This window comes from Homo sapiens, chromosome 8, assembly GCF_000001405.40.
Source record: "Homo sapiens chromosome 8, GRCh38.p14 Primary Assembly".
Taxonomy (NCBI): domain Eukaryota; kingdom Metazoa; phylum Chordata; class Mammalia; order Primates; family Hominidae; genus Homo; species Homo sapiens.
Window position 1 is genome coordinate 19,246,683 of NC_000008.11, and position 17,612 is coordinate 19,264,294.

The following is a 17,612-nucleotide window of genomic DNA, read 5'->3' on the forward strand; positions in this document are numbered from 1 at the left end:
CTCTCTACTAAAAATACAAAAATTACCTGGGTGTAGTGGCGGGCGCCTGTAATCCCAGCTACTCGGGAGGCTGAGGCAGAGAACTGCATGAACCCAGGAGGCAGAGGTTGCAGGGAGTTGAGATCACGCCATTGCACTCCAGCCTGGGCAAAAAAAAAGAATAGCTTAGTTACACCATGCTTTAGCATCTAATTTTGCTATGAAGTTTCTGGTAGTCAAAGAGAAAAGCAAGTCAAGCTCAATTGCATGTTTACTGTCATAAAGGAAAAAGCAAGCCAGTTTATCACAGGAGAAAACAAGCCTTCCTTAGAAGTATGTTCTAAAATAAAATTTTCAAGAGGGATTACTGAGAACTGTAGTAGAAACCATGTCCCCTACGATGCTCCTGTAACAAAATAATAGAAAAATTTATATGGCAGTTTCTTAAAACATTTGTTGATAAAAGCCAAGGATATAGCATTAATGTAATTTAGCAAAGATGATTCCATTAAGGATACTACTGTCTGAATTCAGAATTTTCTGGTGGTAGGATTTGGAGCTAAGTTTAGAAAAATGAGGATTTTTCTAGGTTTAGAAGCAGGGTGAAGTCATGCAAGGAGGAAAAACAATATGATGTCCAGTTTAGTGTGATTTCCCTGGTACCTATGTGTGTGGAGGGAGGAATGGAGAGAAAGTCGGTCGGTGAACAAACCTTTATTGAGTGCCTCCTCTGTGTCAGGTCCTGTGCAAGCTTCTGGTATATGAGAATGACTAGGACAAAGTCCCTACCCTCAAAGAGATTACATTCTAGTGTGTAGGTCTAGTGAAGGGGTGGAAACTAGAATAATAAAGTTGGGAACAAATAAGTAAGTAATCTCACATGAGTGCTGATCATTATGATAAAGAAAACAGGGTAAAGTAAAGTACCTGGGGTGGAGGACTGCTTAAGCTGGGACCTTCAGGAGACAGCATTATAAGTACCGGCTGAAGCGCTTTTTCAGACAGAAAACGTAGCAAATTTTAAAGACAGAAAACAAGATGGATTTTCTTTTGAGAATAATGAAAGCCAGTGGAGGATTTTAAGCAGGAAGCTGACAATGTGATTTACATTTTTTTTTTTTTTTTTTTTTTTTGAGACAGAGTCTCGCTCTGTCACCCAGGCTGGAGTGCAGTGGTGCAATCTCGGTTCACTGCAACCTTCAACTCCTGGGTTCAAGTGATTCTCCTGCCTCAGCCTCCCAAGTAACTGGGTTTACAGATGCCCGCCACCACACCCAGCTAATTTTTTTTTGTATTTTAAGTAGAGACGGGATTTCACCATGTTGGCCAGGCTGGTCTCAAACTCCTGACCTCAGGTGATCCACCCGCCTCAGCCTCCCAAAGTGCTGGCATGAGCCACCACGTAAATTTTTAAAAGCTCACTTTGGCTGAGATGTGGAAGATGGAGCAGATGGATATTGAGAGAGAAAAATGGTGGCAGAAATGCCAGTTGGGAGGCTACTTAGAGAGTCCAGGGGACATGATGGCAGCTTGGACTAGGGTTGTACATATTTTGGAAATAAAACAAATGTGGGGTATGAATGAGAGATTTTTGTATCAGGAAAGAAAGAAGAGTACGTGGATCAAGTTACAAGTATGTTATTGGGTTTGGTGATAAGGAAATTGATTAGTTATCATTTGTGTCTATTTTTAACGTAATGCAGAAGGCAAGACTATCACCTAGTAATGATGAAAAGAGTAGATGATAGAGATTTAATCAAGGATGATGCATAGTCGTGTTGCCGAAGCAAGTAGGTGAATGATGTGCCTTTTCTTTTCTTTCTTTCTTTCTTTTTTTTTTTTTTTTTTTGAGACGGAGTGTCGCTCTTTTGCCCAGGCCGGAGTGCGGTGGCGCTATCTCGGCTCACTGCAAGCTCTGCCTCCCGGGTTCACGCCATTCTCCTGCCTCAGCCTCCCGAGTGGCTGGGACTACAGGCGCCCACCACCACGCCCGGCTAATCTTTTGTATTTTTAGTGGAGACGGGGTTTCACCGTGTTAGCCAGGATGGTCTCGATCTCCTGACCTGGTGGTGATCAGCCCGCCTCGGCCTCCCAAAGTGCTGGGATTACAGGCGTGAGCCACCACGCCAGGCCACCTTTTTTTAAAATAGGCACATTTAAACTTAAACAAGACATGGAAATGGGGGAGTAGGGAAATAAGTAGTTCTGTTTTGACCAAGTTAAGTTTGAAATGACTACTGGACATCCAAGTGGCAGTGGCGATAGAAGTCAGGAGCTCAGCTGAGAAGGCAAGAATAAACTGAAAATTAAGGGGAATCTAAAAGATTTTAAATAAATACAGAGAATATATTTTTAAAATATGCTAATAACATTTTCAAATGTACCTCTGTTTTCTTTTATCTTTGCAGACAAAGATTCTCTTTAAAACCCTGAGTCCGTTCATTCATCTGGGCAAAAAAGTACAATAAATAAATATTTTCCCTGTTTCCTCTTTTTCCAAGATTCAGAGCATACATACAAAAGCCTTGAGACTGGAAAGATTATTTGGAAGTTGGGCAGAAGAGCAGGTCACAAATAGACTAAGAAAGAGAAGCCATGTTAACAGGAGGAATACCAGATAAGACAGAGGGCTTCCAGATTTATTGGTGTGATAAATGTAAAAACACTGTCACAGAGTCTGGGGAAGAAAGTCTTTCAAGAAGAAAGGAATGGTCAATCACGCAAAAATACTGCTGAGAGGGTGAGTAAAATAGGAAGCGAGCATTGACCACTGGCTTTGGAGAAATTTAAGTCATTGGTGATCTTGGCTAGTATTTTAGAGAAGTGGTAGGAAGAAAAGCCCAATTGGTGTGGGAGGAGTGAAAAATAAGAGGTGAAGAAGCGGAGACAGCCGGGAATACAAGTCTTTTAGGTAGGTCTGCTGTGAAAAGAAATAGAGACATACGGTGGCAGCTGAAGGGACACGAGATCATGGAGGATCTTTTCCAATGATGGGTGATATTAAGCTATGTGTATATATAGATAGCAATGACCCAGTGAGTGGAAACTGATGACGTAATAGAAAAATTATATACCTTTAGAAGCGTGGTCCTTAGGAAGGGAGAGAGAACAGAACAGAGAATTCTATAGAAATTGAATGATGGAAAGAGGAGATGAGAGAAATTTAAGGAGATGTCAAGTAATCATCTTAAAGAGTAAAAAGGCAAATGTACTACAGCAAAGGAGGATTACCCAAGAGTGTTGCATGCTCATTTGATATTTGTGGATTTAAATAAAAAAACAATTGAAGGGGCTGGGCGCAGTGGCTCATGCTTGTAATCCCAGTCCTTTGGGAGGCCACCGTATGGATTACTTGAGGTCAGGAGTTCGAGAGCAGCCTGGCCAACATGGTGAAACCCCATCTCTACTAAAATTACAAAAAATTAGCTGGGCACAGTGGTGAATGCCTCTAATCCCAGCTACTCATGGGGCTGAGGCAGGAGAATCACTTGAACCTGGGAGGCAGAGGTTGCAGTGAGTGGAGATCATACCACTGCACTCCAGCCTGGGTGACAGTGAGACTCCATCTCAAAAATAAATGAAAATAAATAAATAAATAAATAAATAAATAAATAAATAAATAAAAAACAATTGAGGTATTATGAAGGAGGGCTCAATGTCTTCTTTACTTCAGTCACTCATTTCCTAAACTCATATCTTGAGTTCCCTACATCTATTCTACCTATGAAATTTAAACTCCAATATCCCACTCTCTAACCACAGTCTTTTATCATTCAAGTTTTCATCCACTTGGTACCAATATACCATGTATCTATTTAATGTCACAATGACCTTGTCATCTTCATTTCTCTTGGGCTATTGGGTCTCATTCAGGCTTTATTTCTCTTTATGTGTTGCTTAGATTCCATAGTTCATTACTTCAGTCATTTTCTCTGTAATGTCTTAACTTTAATTTCCTTAACCTATTGTCCATTCGTTGTGCACATTCTACAGAATTCAAGATGAGCCAAGTGATCTGCCTTTTCTATTCTTACACCTGTGCTGTAGGGCGAAGCAAGGAGAAGAAAGAAAAAATATATGAATGCTGCCACACACATCCATGGTTTGTCAATGCCCAGCCATCCTTGGTGTGCATTCTTAGTGAGTTTCTACTCCAATTCTTCCTGAGTGATTACATTTTCATCACATTTCTGAAGGTTTTGCCACTTCTGCCATCACAATTTGAAGGTAACATAGCCTTATTTATGATAGAGAAGACAGAAGTAATCAGAGGAGAACCTTTATAAATTGTCGTTCCCCTCCATCAACTTTACTCTCCTTCCTTGTTTCCTTTCTGCTTCAATAGAAGTGACAGCTCGAGTCCCATTCTATTTTAATTTCCTCCTTGAATGTTTTGCCTCCCCTATATTGTCCCTGATGGTTTTGTTTGTGATAAACACCTAATTCAAACTAACGTAGGCAAATGAACCCCAAGGATAGGGCTGGCTTTAACCACAACTAGTTCCAAGAGTTCAAATTCGGTTTTCAGGACTTTGCCTTTTTCTTGTCCCCTCTGAGCTTTTCTTTCCTCCATCCCTCAGCACAAGGAAGGTCACCTCCAGGTGGGTGGTAAAGATTGCCACCAGCAATTCTAACTTTTGTTGTCTTTACAAATAATGACACCACATGAAATAAAATTTCATTTTCTTGGTAACTGAAACAAAAGTACCAAGAAGGACTCTGATTGCCAAACCTGAGTCACACATCCACCTCATCACCAAGAAAATGGTCAGCCACCGTGGGTCAAGTGCTCATCCCAGGACTCAGAGAGTGGAGAGGGAAGTGGGGACATGTGAGCGACAGCCTTACCAGGTGGGAAAGTAGCATTTCTTGAGCAAAAATATGCTCAACAGACAAAACCTTATCGTATTTACACTGCATATCCCTTACTGGCCTTCCTAAGAGTTGAACTCATGAAGCAGCCCTTCTCATTCCCGTATCTTCAAACTCTTCTACTGACATTGCCATTTGTTATATAATAATAATAATGCTTAACACAAATGCCTGGCACATAAGTGTTCAGTAAGTGTCAGTAGTAGGAATAGTAATAATGATAATAACACCAACTGCTGTCCCAGCTTAAGCAAATTCTTAGGATCCTCCTCTGCCTTCCCTCTCCCTCCATCCCCCTGTGAAAGGAAAGTAAATCTCCGGACTCCAAAATCACCAAGCCCAGGGGAAAAGTCAAGATGGGAACCGCATTGGGCAAACCTGCCTCCCATTCTGTTCCTGAATAAGACAGCTACACAGATTAAAAAAAAGAAAAAAAGAAAAGCTACATACCTCCCTCACAATTCACCCACAAGGAAGTTCCTTCTGGACCAAAGACAGAACTCGAAGTCATCCCTCTCCTCACATGAGACAAATGCATATCTGATTGCTTCCTTTGCCCTATTGCTTGACTAAGCCAGACGAAGGCATAAGTGACTATTCCTGTAAATTGTGTATTCAGTGAAAACGCTAATCAGAAACTCAAAAGAATGTATTTTGTCTACCTATGACCTGGAAGCCCACGCTCCACTTCAAATTGTCCCGCCTTTCCAGGTTGAACCAACGTGCATTTTACAAACATTAATGTTTCATGTTTCCCTAAAATGTATAAAACCAAGCTGTGCCCTGACCACCTTGAACCCATGTCATCAGGACCTCCTGATGCCTCCACAGGCATGTCCTTAACCTTGGCAAAATAAACCTTCGGCAAAATAAACCTTCAAAATTGACTGAGACTTGTCTCAGATACCTGGAGTTCACACCCATCTTCCCTGCTAATCATCTGTATTGGTGTATTAATGCTGCTATAACAAAATACCACAAACTGAGTAATTTATAAACAACAGAATCTGGAGGCTGGTAAGTCCAAGATTAAGGCACTGGCAGGTTTGACATCCAATGAGGGCCTGATTTTTACTTCCAAGAAGGTGCCTTGTTGTTGTGTCCTCTGGAGGGGACAAACATTGTGTTCTCAAGTGGTGGCAGGGATGGAAGACAAAAAAAGGGGGCCAAACTCAGGCCCTTTTATAACAGTACTAACCCAACCCATGAGGGTGAAGCCCTCATGGCCTAATCACTTTCTAGGGGGCCCCTCCTCTTAATACTACTGTGCTGGGGATTAAGTTTCAACATGAATTTGAAAAGGGACACAAGTATTGAAACCATAGCAGCATAACTATGTCTGTCCTTCCCCAACATCCACTTCCTCAGCTTACTACAGTCTGTCTTGCCCCTGTACCACTTCCCTGACACATCACCAATAGCCTTCACCAACCCAAGTCAGATAGATACTTTCCCAATTTGATTTCACTGAACACCTTCAGTTTTTGATACTATTGACAATTATATTCTTGTGACTTTCCTCCCTTCCTTTTGTAACTCTTTTCAAACAGCTTTCCTCCTTAGCATTATTCTTGTCTACCTTAATGGCTACTTCCTGATTTCCACCGTGAATATGACTCTAATGATTTCCAACATCAGCCCCGTCTCTTTACTGAGATGGAGTTCTCTGTAATACAACTTCCTATTGAAGAGTTCCATTTGGATGTCCCACAGGCACCTAAAGCAAAGCATTTAAAAAACTGAATTTATCATTTCCCACAGCCTATAACAAAAAATAAGTTCCCTTAATTATATTTCCTAATTTTATTGAATGGCTCTTTAAACACCTATAACTGCTAAAGCCGCAGGATTGGGAGTTATATTTTTCTCTCCCTCGCAATATCCAGAATCAAATTTAGTAAATGCTTTCTTCTAAGAATCAAATCTACTCACTTCAAATGCCACTTCTCTAATTCAGCCCATGTCATCTCTTGCCCGCATTATTGTCAATGATCCATAACCAAATCCTCTACCTCTCCTGCAAATCACTCGCCGTATCTTTACTAAAGCAATTGTTTTCATTAAAAGCAAATCTGGTCACATTGTTCTTTAGTGGCTTCCTATGGCATCAGTCAGATCTAGTCTTCTTGCATAGGAGACCGAAAGTTCTGGCTGGCCAAATTTAAGGGACAGTTTATTTGCGTGTAGCTTCTAGAACAAAGATATTCATGTCTTTAACCTCTTCACTTTCCCAGTGCCCAAGAGAACCTCATAAACTTGACATCAACAGGCTTAGCAATAAGCCATATTCATGAATAGTCAGGGAAAGTTACAGCTCTTTCTAAAGGGGTGGGAGGGGTCTCAGTAATTTAGGGGAGGAAAGTCTTTACCTTCTGGTATTCACATCTTTATGTAATCCCCTCCCCTTGAGTATGGGGAATCACTTCTGAATTAGTTATAAATCGACTGTAGCTCTGACTTAGGTACACTCTCTTGGGTCCTCATTCTGGGGGAAGCCAGCTGCCAGGTCCTGAGGCAGTCCTGTGGAGAAGGCCACGTGACTGAGCTTGGCTATAGATTCTCCCATAGCTTTGAGATGACTGCAGCCCTGGCCAGCATCTTGACTGTAGCCTGTAAGAGATCTTAAACCAGAACCACTCTGCTAAGCCACTCTCAGGTTCCTGACCCACAGAAACTGTAAGATAAGAAATGCTTGTATTTCCAACTATTATATTTTGGAGTACTTTATTATGCAGTGGTAGATAATGCAAAGTCTAAGGCGGAGGGCATCTCACTGCAAAAATACTGAAAAAGAAGAAAATTTAATAAAAATAAGAATCTCAAATAGATGCAATTAGATTTCTTTAAAAGATTCACTGTAAGTACAAATTTGGATTTAAAAGTTCACTAGAAACTAAAAACTTATGGTTGTGGTAAGAACTAAATTGATGGCACAAGACTGAAAGGGATAAATAATTCTCAACATACAACACAGAGTAAAAACAAACAAAAATTACAAATCATGAGGGAAATTGTGAAAGACTTGGAAGGCAAACCTAAGAAAACTATTATGCAAATGAAATTTTCAGGAACCAACAGAACAAACAGAGAAGTAAGAATAAAGGAAAACATAAGAAAAAAAATGTTCTCAAGTATAAAAATACAAAAAGTTATATTGAATGGGAGCAGAGTCTCAAGTAGGATTGAGGGGGAAAGATACATACAAGATTTCTGAACTTCTTTGGTTTTAAAAGCATTGTATAAACTTCCGGCCAAAAAGAGCAGAATACTCTAAAGAAAAGTGGATTCAACTTATCCTCTGTAGTATCAGCAGCTAATAGATAGTGAGCAATCATTTTAGGCTACCAAGGGAACAGTGCTTAATCGAAAAGTCCTATGCATGCTGAAGACATAATTCTTGACATTTACACATTTTCGAGCTCTCAGAAAGCATACCGTCCACATATCCTATGAAAAGAAAGCACTTCAGGAAGTAACCTAACCACAAAGACACAAAAAAATCAGAATAAAAGATCTTAAATCAGAAAATAGAGAAGCAAAACAGTATAAGAAACACTGGTGAGAACTGAATTTTGTAGTACCTGTGGCTACATCGAAAGAAATGACTGTAAAATTTCTTGATGTTAAACATACGTATTAGGAGAGTAAGAACAGGAGACCTCCAGTTTCCAGTTGGGCATGTAAGTAGTATAGAAGTCATCACTCCGTCACAACAACAAGTACAAAGCCAAGCAAACTGGAAAACCAACAACTTTTCTTAGATCCATTAGAAAAGTGAGCTCTCAGGGCAAACCACTCTCCTCAAAATTGGAGAGACAGACAGGCTAGATACAGAGAGTCACAACTTAGTGAAGCAGAAACCCATGAGCAGAAACCCTCACTGGACCCAGTACGGGGGTCGAAAAACCTGAACTGTAATTTATGAATTATAGGAAGCTTAATGTGGACAAGTCTGAGAGTTAGAAACTGCAGGGGACCCAGCCATGGGAAGGCTTCTCACACTTCTGTGTGTTTTACATCAGGAGCTCTATCAGGTTCTCAGAGTGAAGACCAAAGAAAAACCCTTCATGCTTCCATTAGGAAGTGAGGGGAGGTCGCCATTTTGAAATCCAACAAAGCATTGTTGTTAGCAAGGCCTCCTGCCCTCAAGAGAAGCTGTTTTACCAGAGTCCAGCCTAATGATAGCACTGCAAGGGGAAATCAATAAATTCATACTTACAGTTGAAGATTTTGACGTTCTTCAATCATAAATGGACAGATCCAGCAGACAGAACATCAGTAAGGACATAGTCAAACTCAACAGCATAATCAATCACCTGGATATAATTGACATCTATCAACTACTTTATCCAACAAGAGCAGAGTACACAGTCCTCTCAGGCTCACATAGAACATCCACTAATGTAAACCACATACTGGGCTACAAAACACAAATTATCAATGTAAAAGCATAAATCTTACAATATATTCTCCTTCTGACCACAATGGAATTAAACTGAAAATCAGTAACAGAAAGATAGCTGAAAAGTTTCAAAACACTTAGAAATTAAACAACATACTTCTAAATAACACATGAGTCAAGGACAAATCCTCAAGAAAAAATTTAAAATACTTCTAACTAAATGAAAATGAAATACAACTTACCAAAATTTGTGGGGTACAGTGAAAGCAGTGCTTACAGCGAAATTTATGGCCTTGAATGCATATATTAGAAAAAACGAAAGTTTAAAATTAATGATCTAAGCTTTCACCTTAGGATATTAAGAAAAGAAGATATAAAGGTAAATAAGCATATTAAAAGATATTAAACATCATATGTTGTTAGGAAATTGCAAATTAAAACAAGTTACCACTACATTGAAAACTATGTCCACCAAAAAACCTGCAGATGAATGTTTATAGCAGCTTTATTTATAATTGCTAAAAGTTGGAAGCAAAAATAGGACCTTCAGTAGGTGAATGGATAAATACACATTGGTACATCCACACAATGAAATATTACTCGGCAGTGAAAAGAAGTGAGCTATTAAGCCATGAAAAGACATGGAGGAAACGTAAATACATATTGCTAAGTAAAAAGTGTCAGTCTGGAAAGGGTATGTACTGTATGAATCCAACTATATGACACTCTTGAAAAGAAAAAACTGTGGAAACAGTAGTATAAACGGATCAGTGGTTTCCATGGGTTAAAGGTGATAGAGGGGCTGGGCGCGGTGGCTCACGCCTGTAATCCCAGCACTTTGGGAGGTTGAGGTGGGCGGATCACGAGGTCAGGAGATCGAGACCATCCTGGCTAACATGGTGAAACCCCATCTCTACTAAAAACACAAAAAATTAGCCGGGCGTGGTGGCAGGCGCCTGTAGTCCCAGCTACTCAGGAGGCTGAGGCAGGAGAATGGAGTGAACCTGGAAGGCAGAGGTTGCAGGGAGCCGAGATTGCGCCACTGCACTCCAGCCTGGGCGACAGAGCGAGATTCTGTCTCAAAAAAAAAAAAAAAAAAAAAAAAAAGAGGGATAAATAAGCAGAATAGGAGGGATTTTTAGGAAGTGAAACCCCTCTGTATGATGTTATAATGGCGGATGCACGCCATTGTTAATTTGTCACAACCCATACAATGTCTTTAATACAATACCAAGAGTGAACACTACTGTAAACTACAAACTTTGGGTGAGAGTGATGTGTCCATGTAGGCTCATTGATTGTAACATAACGACCACTCTTGTGCTGGATTTTGATAGTCAGGCAGGCTATGCATCCCTGAGGGCAGGGTTTCCATAGGAAATCTCCGTAGCTTCTGCTCAATTTTGCTGTGGATCTACAAATCACTCTAAAAAATAAAATCTATTTTAAAAAATGAGTCCCAAGCCATGAAAAGATAAAGAGGGATCTTAAATACATGTGAATTACTAAGTGAAACAAGCCAATCTGAAAAGGCTACATACTGTATAATTGCAAGTATATGGTCCTCTGGAAAAGGCAAAACTATGGAAATAGTAAAAAGATCAGTGGTTTCCAGGAGTTGTCAGGGGGATGGAGGGATGAACAGGCAGAGCATGGATTTTTAGAGCAATGAAAATATTCTGTATGATACTTTAGTGGTCAATACATGTCATTACACATTTGTCAAAACCCGTAAAATATACAACACCAAGAATAAACTTTAAAGTAAACAATGAACTTTGGGTAATAAGAAAAACACAGACTAAAGAAACAAACAAACAAGCAAACAAAACTATCTTTTATCTAATAAAACTCTTGGCTGGGTGTGGGAGCTCACGCCTGTAATCCTAGCACTTTGGGAGGCCAAGGTAGGCAGATCATTTGAGGTCAGGGGTTTGAGACCAGCCTGGCCAACATGGTGAAACCCCATCTCTACTAAAAATGCAAAAATTAGCTGGTCATGGTGGCACATGCCTGTAATCCCAGCTTCTCGGGAAGCTGAGGCAGGAGAATTGCTTGAACCCAGGAGACAGAGGTTGCAGTGAGCCAAGATTGGGCCAGTTGGGTGACAGAGTGAGACTCCATTAAAAACAAAAAAAAAAGACTCTGAAAAAATCCCAGAATGGGGGTGGGTAGATAGGGGTAGTGTGGTGCCTCAGTCTGTTCTCACACTGCTAATAAAGACATACCCAAGACTGGGTAATTTAGGTTTAATTGACTCACAGTTCCACATGGCTGGGGAGGCCTCACAATCATGGCGGAAGGCAAATGAAGGGCAAAGTCACATCTTACATGGCAGTAGGCAGAGAGAGCTTATGTAGGGGAATTCGCCTTTATACAACCATCAGATCTCGTGAGACTTATTCACTATCATGAGAACAGCATGGGAAAGACCCACCCCCATGATTCAATTACCTCCCACTGGGTCCCTCCCATGACACATGGGAATTATGGGAGCTACAGTTCAAGATGAGATTTGGGTGGATGGGGACACAGCCAACCATATCAGCTGGGTGCAGCAGAGAGAGCTACAAGTTGAGAATACGAACATCCAAAGGTCTTGTATTGATGTAGGGGAAATGGCACTGCAGATGAGTAAAACATGTTGGCAAAAGAGCACAGTTAATATTTATTATTAGTTTTTATGCTAGTAGTAAGTTTGAGGTTTACACATAGATTCAAGATGATAACATAACCACTATGGTTGATGAGGTGTGATAGAAATTATAACTGGAGGAAGGCAGAAGGGAGTGAAAAGAAAAAATATCAAACTAGCAAAAATAAGGAAAACAGGCAAGAGGAAACAACTCTAAACTTTAGGTAATAAACATTAAATATAATCAAACTGAACTTGTTTCACCAAAAAGCGTGAATGGGGTAAATTCTCTATTAAAACATGAAGTGTCACATTAGGAAGGAACAGAAACAAAATCTAGTTATATATTGTTTGCAAGAGTCAGAAAAAACTAAAGGGATGGGTGAGATTTCTATTTCTGAAATTTATGATGGACTGGATTCCTGGAAAAACCCTCCTGATGAAAATAACAACAAACTTGTTTTTATATGAATCTCACAATTTGAAAATAAGAATTCCACAGAGGCCTAAAACAAGAGGAAAACAACAGCCTTAGGCAGTGGGGCTGAACGCTGGAGAGCTTAAAGAGCCATCTGAGGGCTCCTGCAGGCCAATAACCCCAGAGCCTCCCTGAGATCAGAAGTCCTAAAGGAGATTCCTGTATAAAGCAGGGGCCAGGGACCTTAAAAGGCTACATTCTCCGTGTAATGCTGAAGAATAAACCTATTATGCAGTACGCAAGAGGAAGGAGCTTGCCTCTCTTGATCTTGATTCTCATTGGAAGCAAACAAACAAACAAAATCTTCCTGGTAATTCACAACTGCAAGCCAGCCTTCCACGGTTTGAGACCTGAATTCATGGTCTCCAATATGCTGAAATGAAATAAGAGTAAGCCTGAAATTCTACATCCATTGATGACTGCAGGGTGAGATTCCACTGAGAACCATACGATTGTCAACTTTAATGATGTAAGAGTTCTAGGCCGGGCACGGTGGCTCACGCTTGTAATTCTAGTACTTTGGGAGGCCAAGGTGGGTGGATCGCGAGGTCAGGAGATGGAGACCATCCTGGCTAACATGGTGAAACCCCATCTCTACTAAAAATACAAAAAATTAGCCAGATGTGGTGGCGGGCGCCTGTCGTCCCAGCTACTCGGGAGGCTGAGGCAGGAGAATGGCGTGAACCCGGAAGGCGGAGGTTGCAGTGAGCCGAGATCGCGCCACTGCACTCCAGCCTGGGTGACAGAGCGAGACTCTGTCTCAAAAACAAAAGAAAAGAGTTATAAAACTTAGACAACCCTGGGAAGAGAAAGACTCCAAATTAACAAAGATTAAGATTCTGCTCCCTGGTAGAAAGGAGGCTTGGTATGGAAATTCAGTTGACTTATTTTTAAAATCATTATATTTCTTACATGCCTGAGTTGTGGATTCAGATTTATATCTGCTGCTTTATTTAAAAAGGAAGACTAAAAATACATTAAGTATGCCCCTTGAGACAGTTGGAAAAATACACTGAAAATAAACATTAAGATAGTACGTATAGGAAATTAAAAAGATAAAGGGCAGAACTGATTAAAAATAAAGAAAACAAAAATAGTAAAAGGGGTAATAGAACCAAAATCTCTTTTGTCTGCATAAATAGATAATTCCCATTACATCTCATTAATGAAAAATGTGAAAAAGCAAATACAAACATATCACTATTGAGAAAGAGAAAAGATATGCCCACAAATTCAAATAAGATTAGAAACATTATGAGAAACTATCAGCCAGGTGTGGTGGCTCACACCTGTAATCGCAGTACTTTGGGAGGCCGAGGTGGGTGGATAACTTGAGGTAAGGAGTTCGAGACCAGCCTGACCAACATGGTGAAACCCCATCTCCACTAAAAACACAAAAATTAGCCAGGCGTGGGGGCGCATGCCTGTAATCCCAGCTACTCGGGAAGCTGAGGCAGGAGAATCCCTTGAACCTGCGAGGCGGAGGCTGCAGTGAGCCAAGATCGTGCCACTGTACTCCAGCCAGGGCAACAGAGTGAGACTCCATCTCAAAAAGAAAAGAAAAACTGTGAGAAACTATTACATACAACTCTCCAGAAATATAAATAGAAACCAATAAGAAATGGAACATTTTGTAAGAATAAACAAATTAATAAAATTTTCTCAAAAGGACACAGAAAAGTTGAACAAATAACTGAAGAAAAATGAAGGCACCTAATTCGGTTAGTTTTGCAATAATAATTTCTACATTGTTTGAACTCTTTCTTTCAGCTCATAAAAAAGAAAGCTCTATGGGCTGCCATGATGGCTCATACCTGTAATCCCAACATTTTGGGAGGCTGAGGCAGGAGGATCCCTTGAATCTAGGAGTTCAAGACCAGCCTGGCCATCACAGGGAGATCTTGCCTCTATAAAAAATTTGAAAATTTACTGGGCATGGTGGTTTATGACTAGTAATTTCAGTTACTCGGGAGGCTGAGGCAGACGGTTGGCTTTGAGCCTGGGAGTTTGTGGCTGCAGTGAGCTATGATCATACCATTGCACTTCAGCCTGAATGACAGAGTGAGACTCTGTCTCAAAAAAAGAAAAGAAAAGAAAAAAGTAAGGAAGCTCTCAATTCATTTTAAAAGCCAACAATTCTAATATCAAAACCTGACAGAGAAAAAAAAACCTAACATAACTTAAATTTACTCAAGGATATACATGTAAAGATTATAAATAAAATATTAGACAAGCAAACCCTATAGTACATTAAAATAATAAAACACTACGATGAGAAAAAGTTTATTCCAGGGTGTTAATATTAGGAAATTATTGGCAAAAAATGTATTACATCAACAAATTACATCAACAGAAATAATATTGACATGGTCTAAAAACGGTTTTGATAAAATCCAGTGGTAATTTCAAATAAAAACTCTAAGTAAAGTAGGAACAAAAGAAAAATATATAAAAGTGATACAGATTAACAAAAAAGAAGAGCAAACATCCTATAGAAAGGTAACATATTAAAGCCATTAAAATTAAAATGAAAATTAAGAAATGTTTTCTTCACTTGACTTCCAGGAAGTGGTGTACTTTGCTCTGAGTCCGCTGGTCTGCCTTTCTGTTTTTTGTTTTGTTTTGTTTTTGAGACAGAGTCTCACTCTGTCGCCCAGGCTGGAGTGCAGTGGTGTGATCTTGGCTCACTGCAACCTCTGCCTGGCGAGTTCAAGCGATTCTCCTGCCTCAGCCTCCCGAGTAGCTGGAATTACAGGCATGCGCCACTACACCTGGCTAATTTTTGTATTTTTAATAGAGAAGCGGTTTCACCATGTTGGCCAGGCTGGTCTCCACCTCCTAACCTCAAGTGGCCCACCCACCTCGGCCTCCCAAAGTGTTGGGGTTACAGGCGTGAGCCACCTGGCCCGGCCCCCACTGGCCTGCCTTTCTTAATCATCTTTACTGGTTCCTTCATTTCTCCCTGGTATTCTTAACATTGGAGGTCATTTGGGTTCAGCCCTTGACCTTGCTTCTTCTCTCTCTGTGTATTTACTTGATACAGTACTCACAGTAGTCTCACAGCTTTACGTACCACCTGTTTTCCCTTTCCTGCCACATTTACATCTCCAGCCTAGACCTAATCCTTGAGCTCCAAGCTGTGATGATGTCCTCCTGCCCATGGAAACCACTGCTTGGATGCCTAATATTGACACATCTCACACACCGGACCCCTGATCTTTTCCTCCTTCCAAACCTGCTCTTCACACAGTCTTTCCCGTTTATTTTGTTTGTTTGTTTATTTGTTTGTTTTTGAGACCCAGACTGGAGTGCAGTGGCACAATCTCAGCTCACTGTAATCTCTGCCTGCCGGGTTCAAGCAATTCCCCTGCCTCAGCCTCCGGAGTAGCTGGGAGTACAGGCTCTCACCACCAAACCCAGATAATTTTTTGTATTTTAGTAGAGACGGTGTTTCACCATGTTGGCCAGGATGGTCTCGATCTCCTGACCTCGTGATCTGCCTACCTCGGCCTCCCAAAGTGCCGGAATTACAGGCATGAGCCATCGTACCCAGCCTCTTTCCCATCTTAGTAAATGGCAGTTCATCCTTCTGGTTGCTGTGACCCAAAGCCTTAGAGTCACGCTGACTCTTCACTTCCATATTTGCCCTCTTAGAGGCGAATCTCAACACAGCAGACAGAGTGATTCATGCAAGATATGAGTCAAAACCCTTCAATGGCTACACATCACTTGGACTAAAAGCCGTTTCCTTTTCATGGCCTATGTACTCCTGAATAATCTGGTCCTCGGTGGACAGAGCCCTCTTACGTCCTTGACTTCATCTACTCCTCCTTCATTCTGCATCTTCTACTCTGCTGCAGCCATGCTGGCCTTCCTTCCCCAGGGCCTTTGCACTGCCCATTCTTCCTGTCTGGCTTGTTCTATTGCTCTTTTTCCAATCCCTTGAGTTAAACTTGTAATTTCTAACATTTAAAAACTTTCTGTTAAATATATTTAAAGTTATAATTTTATGTAATATTACTTTTTATACGGTTCCACATATTTTGACATAAATGTTATCATTATCCTTTAACTATAAGCATCTATTAATTTACTTGATTTCCCCTTAAAACCAAGACTTACTTAATAAGTTGTTCATCTTCACACATAGAGGATTTTTTAAATTTTTTATTTCTGTAGGTTTTTGGGGAACAGGTGGTGTTTGGTTACAAGAGTAAGTTGTTTAGTGGTGATTTGTGAGATTTTGGTGCACCCATACCCCGGACAGTACACACTGAACCCAATTTGTAGTCTTTTATCCCTCACCCCCTTCCCACCCTCTCCCTTGAGTCCCCAAAGTCCATTGTGTCCTTCTTAGGCCTTTGCATCCTCGTAGCTTAGCTCCCACTTATCAGTGAGAACATAGGATATCCAACATAGGGGATTTTTTTAAAAAAGTTATACCTTTGTGACTAATTTCTAATTTTACTGAGTAAACTACAATTTCTACTTTAATAAATTACAAGTTGCAAGTTCTCTAGGGAGATTTTTTTTTTTTTTCCTCTCCAGAGCCTCAGCAGAAACCATGCATGTCCTTGATCTCCTCCTGGGTGAATTCGGCCCTCCCCAAGCCTGGCTTGTGTGAGAGAGCTCACTTATTCCTCCAGCCTCTGCCCCCAAGGCAGCTGTGGCAACAGGCAAAACCGCTCTGGTTTTCAGTACCCCTTTAATTCTTAGCACCTGATTACTTTCCCCTTTTATTCCTGCAAGCTCAGCTCAGTCTTGAAAGGGATGTTTGTAATATACTAAACAGCACTGTAAAGGTCTTGAAGTGGCAGGATTTTCAGGTAATCCTGTCTTCTGTGTTGCGTATAACTGGAAGAAATTCCAACTACACAGATGGGCATAAAAGAAAAGTCTACTCCTGCCCAGGGCAGTCATCCCAGTCTCCAGTGCTAACCAGTGGGAACAGTGTGGTCTTTTTCCCAACAGCCTTTTCCTTCATATTTTGCAGACCTGTGTGTTTCAGGGAGTGGTAATAGAAAGACCAGATCCAGTCCCAGCTCTGCCGCAAAAGACCTATGTGACTTTGAGAAAATTCACTGACTTCTGTAGGTCTAGTTTTCTCCCTCAAGGGTCATGAATAATAAGATGTATTAGTATTAGTAAGCTTATTTTTTCTTATATAGTCTGTTTTTTTGTTTTTGTTTTTATTCTCTCTTTTTTTTTTTGGCTTCTGTACTTATTTCAGAAAGTAGATTGTGGTT

General features: G+C 40.6%; 1 long non-coding RNA gene across 1 annotated transcript in view; it reads left to right on the top strand.

Annotated features, from left to right (window-relative positions):
- LOC105379300 (uncharacterized) overlaps positions 1 to 17,612 on the top strand; it is a 31,326-nt gene that overhangs the window by 627 nt on the left and 13,087 nt on the right. Inside the window, exons 3-4 of the long non-coding RNA XR_949537.2 lie at positions 2,481 to 2,719; positions 4,027 to 4,206. This is a non-coding gene — a long non-coding RNA (uncharacterized LOC105379300). The remainder of the gene's footprint in view (positions 1 to 2,480; positions 2,720 to 4,026; positions 4,207 to 17,612) is intronic.